Source organism: Homo sapiens, chromosome 5 (genome assembly GCF_000001405.40).
Source record: "Homo sapiens chromosome 5, GRCh38.p14 Primary Assembly".
Classification (NCBI taxonomy): domain Eukaryota; kingdom Metazoa; phylum Chordata; class Mammalia; order Primates; family Hominidae; genus Homo; species Homo sapiens.
Window position 1 is genome coordinate 5,620,608 of NC_000005.10, and position 1,544 is coordinate 5,622,151.

Consider the following 1,544-nt stretch of genomic DNA (forward strand, 5'->3'; position numbering starts at 1 on the left):
AGAAATATAGAAATCAATAAATTTATATATAACTCTTTTAAATTTGCATATGTAGAAATAAATATACACATATAGAAATATATGGCCAGGTGCGGTGGCTCACGCCTGTAATCCCAGCACTTTGGGAGGCCAAGGTGGGTGGATCACGAGGTGAGGAGATCGAGACCTTCCTGGCTAACATGCTGAAACCCCGTCTCTACTAAAAATACAAAAAAATTAGCCGGGAGTGGTGGCAGGCGCCTGTAGTCCCACCTACTCCAGAGGCTGAGGCAGGAGAAAGGCATGAACCCAGGAGGTGGAGGTTGCAGTGAGCCGAGATCTCGCCACTGCACTCCAGCCTGGGCAACAAAGCGACACTCCATCTCAAAAAAAAAAAAAAAAAAAAAGAAAGAAAGAAATATATATTTGTTTAGGTAAAGTGCTACAGGAACAAATTAGCTATGAAATTTCAAAGACAGTGTAACAATAGTTTATTTCTACCAAAGTTACATATCTAATACATGATGGCAGGACATTATACTCCACATAGTAACTCAGGGAACAAGGCTTACAAGAATGACAACATCTTATATCTGCATCGTTCTCATTTGCTGCAGCTTAAGGGTCATGTGCCTGCTCTCGAATGTTTTGTCCAGCAGAGTCACATTTCATTTTGCTTCCAACTCATTAGCCAAGCTAGAGAGAGGAAGGGCAGCACATGGCCTGTGTCATCTGTACTCTCTGCCTTTTGGTTTCCAGCTGGAGTTGACCAAAAAAGCACCCTCAAGATCACAAAGCTGGGGATTAACTCACTCAACATTTTCTCTAGCAAGTCCTGGTTTGACCAAGTCATGTGGGAATCCTCTCATTATGGCTACAACTCTCCTTAGGATATCCTCTGACCTCTAAAGCCTTAGAGTAGGTCATGGATTTCCACTGTTGCTATTTTTTCCTTGATAGCCATCTCTGGTAGGATTATTTAACATTGCCCATGCCTTTGTTCATTTTAATTGACCTTTTACAATTGCCCCTTTGTGTGTTCCATAGGTTTCATGCTGGGGCTCTAATTGACATAGTTCCTCTGTTCTCATACATAGAACTACACCAACCCCTCCCCAAGAAAGACAACCACAAGTCCCATCCAAGTGCTGATGTCAGTTCTAAGTCCAGAATCTCAGCAGGATACACAGTGCATCCTATATCAGGTCAAGACATGGCTCCTCTTAGCCCACATTAAGAACTACAAAGGGAGGTTGTCCACACTCAATGAACAATAATGGAACCACAAGTTAACAACAGTAAACAATCCTATTTAAAAATTGATGAGAGAAACACAGAAGTTAATGGTTCCTGTCAATTGTGCGGTAATGTTTGACAGTCTCATTGCAAACACCGTTATTCTGGAGATGGAAGTGTTACTATTTGTTCATTAGCTCTGGATCCTGATCTCTGGGAGAACTTTTCTTGTTCCTTTTTTTCTCTCATTCTTAAATCCATCTTCTGGAAAGACCTTCTTGTACACTACTCTGTTTGACTAGATCAGATGTGGGTTTTGTGGAATGTAT

General features: G+C 41.4%; 1 annotated feature.

The window, feature by feature from the left end:
* Positions 737–1,267: an enhancer, noted in NCBI's record as "NANOG hESC enhancer chr5:5621457-5621987 (GRCh37/hg19 assembly coordinates)". NCBI's record gives its function as "activates a minimal SCP1, AML or CMV promoter by ChIP-STARR-seq in primed H9 embryonic stem cells {active_cell/tissue: H9 hESC(primed)}" and the evidence as "EXISTENCE:reporter gene assay evidence [ECO:0000049][PMID:30033119]".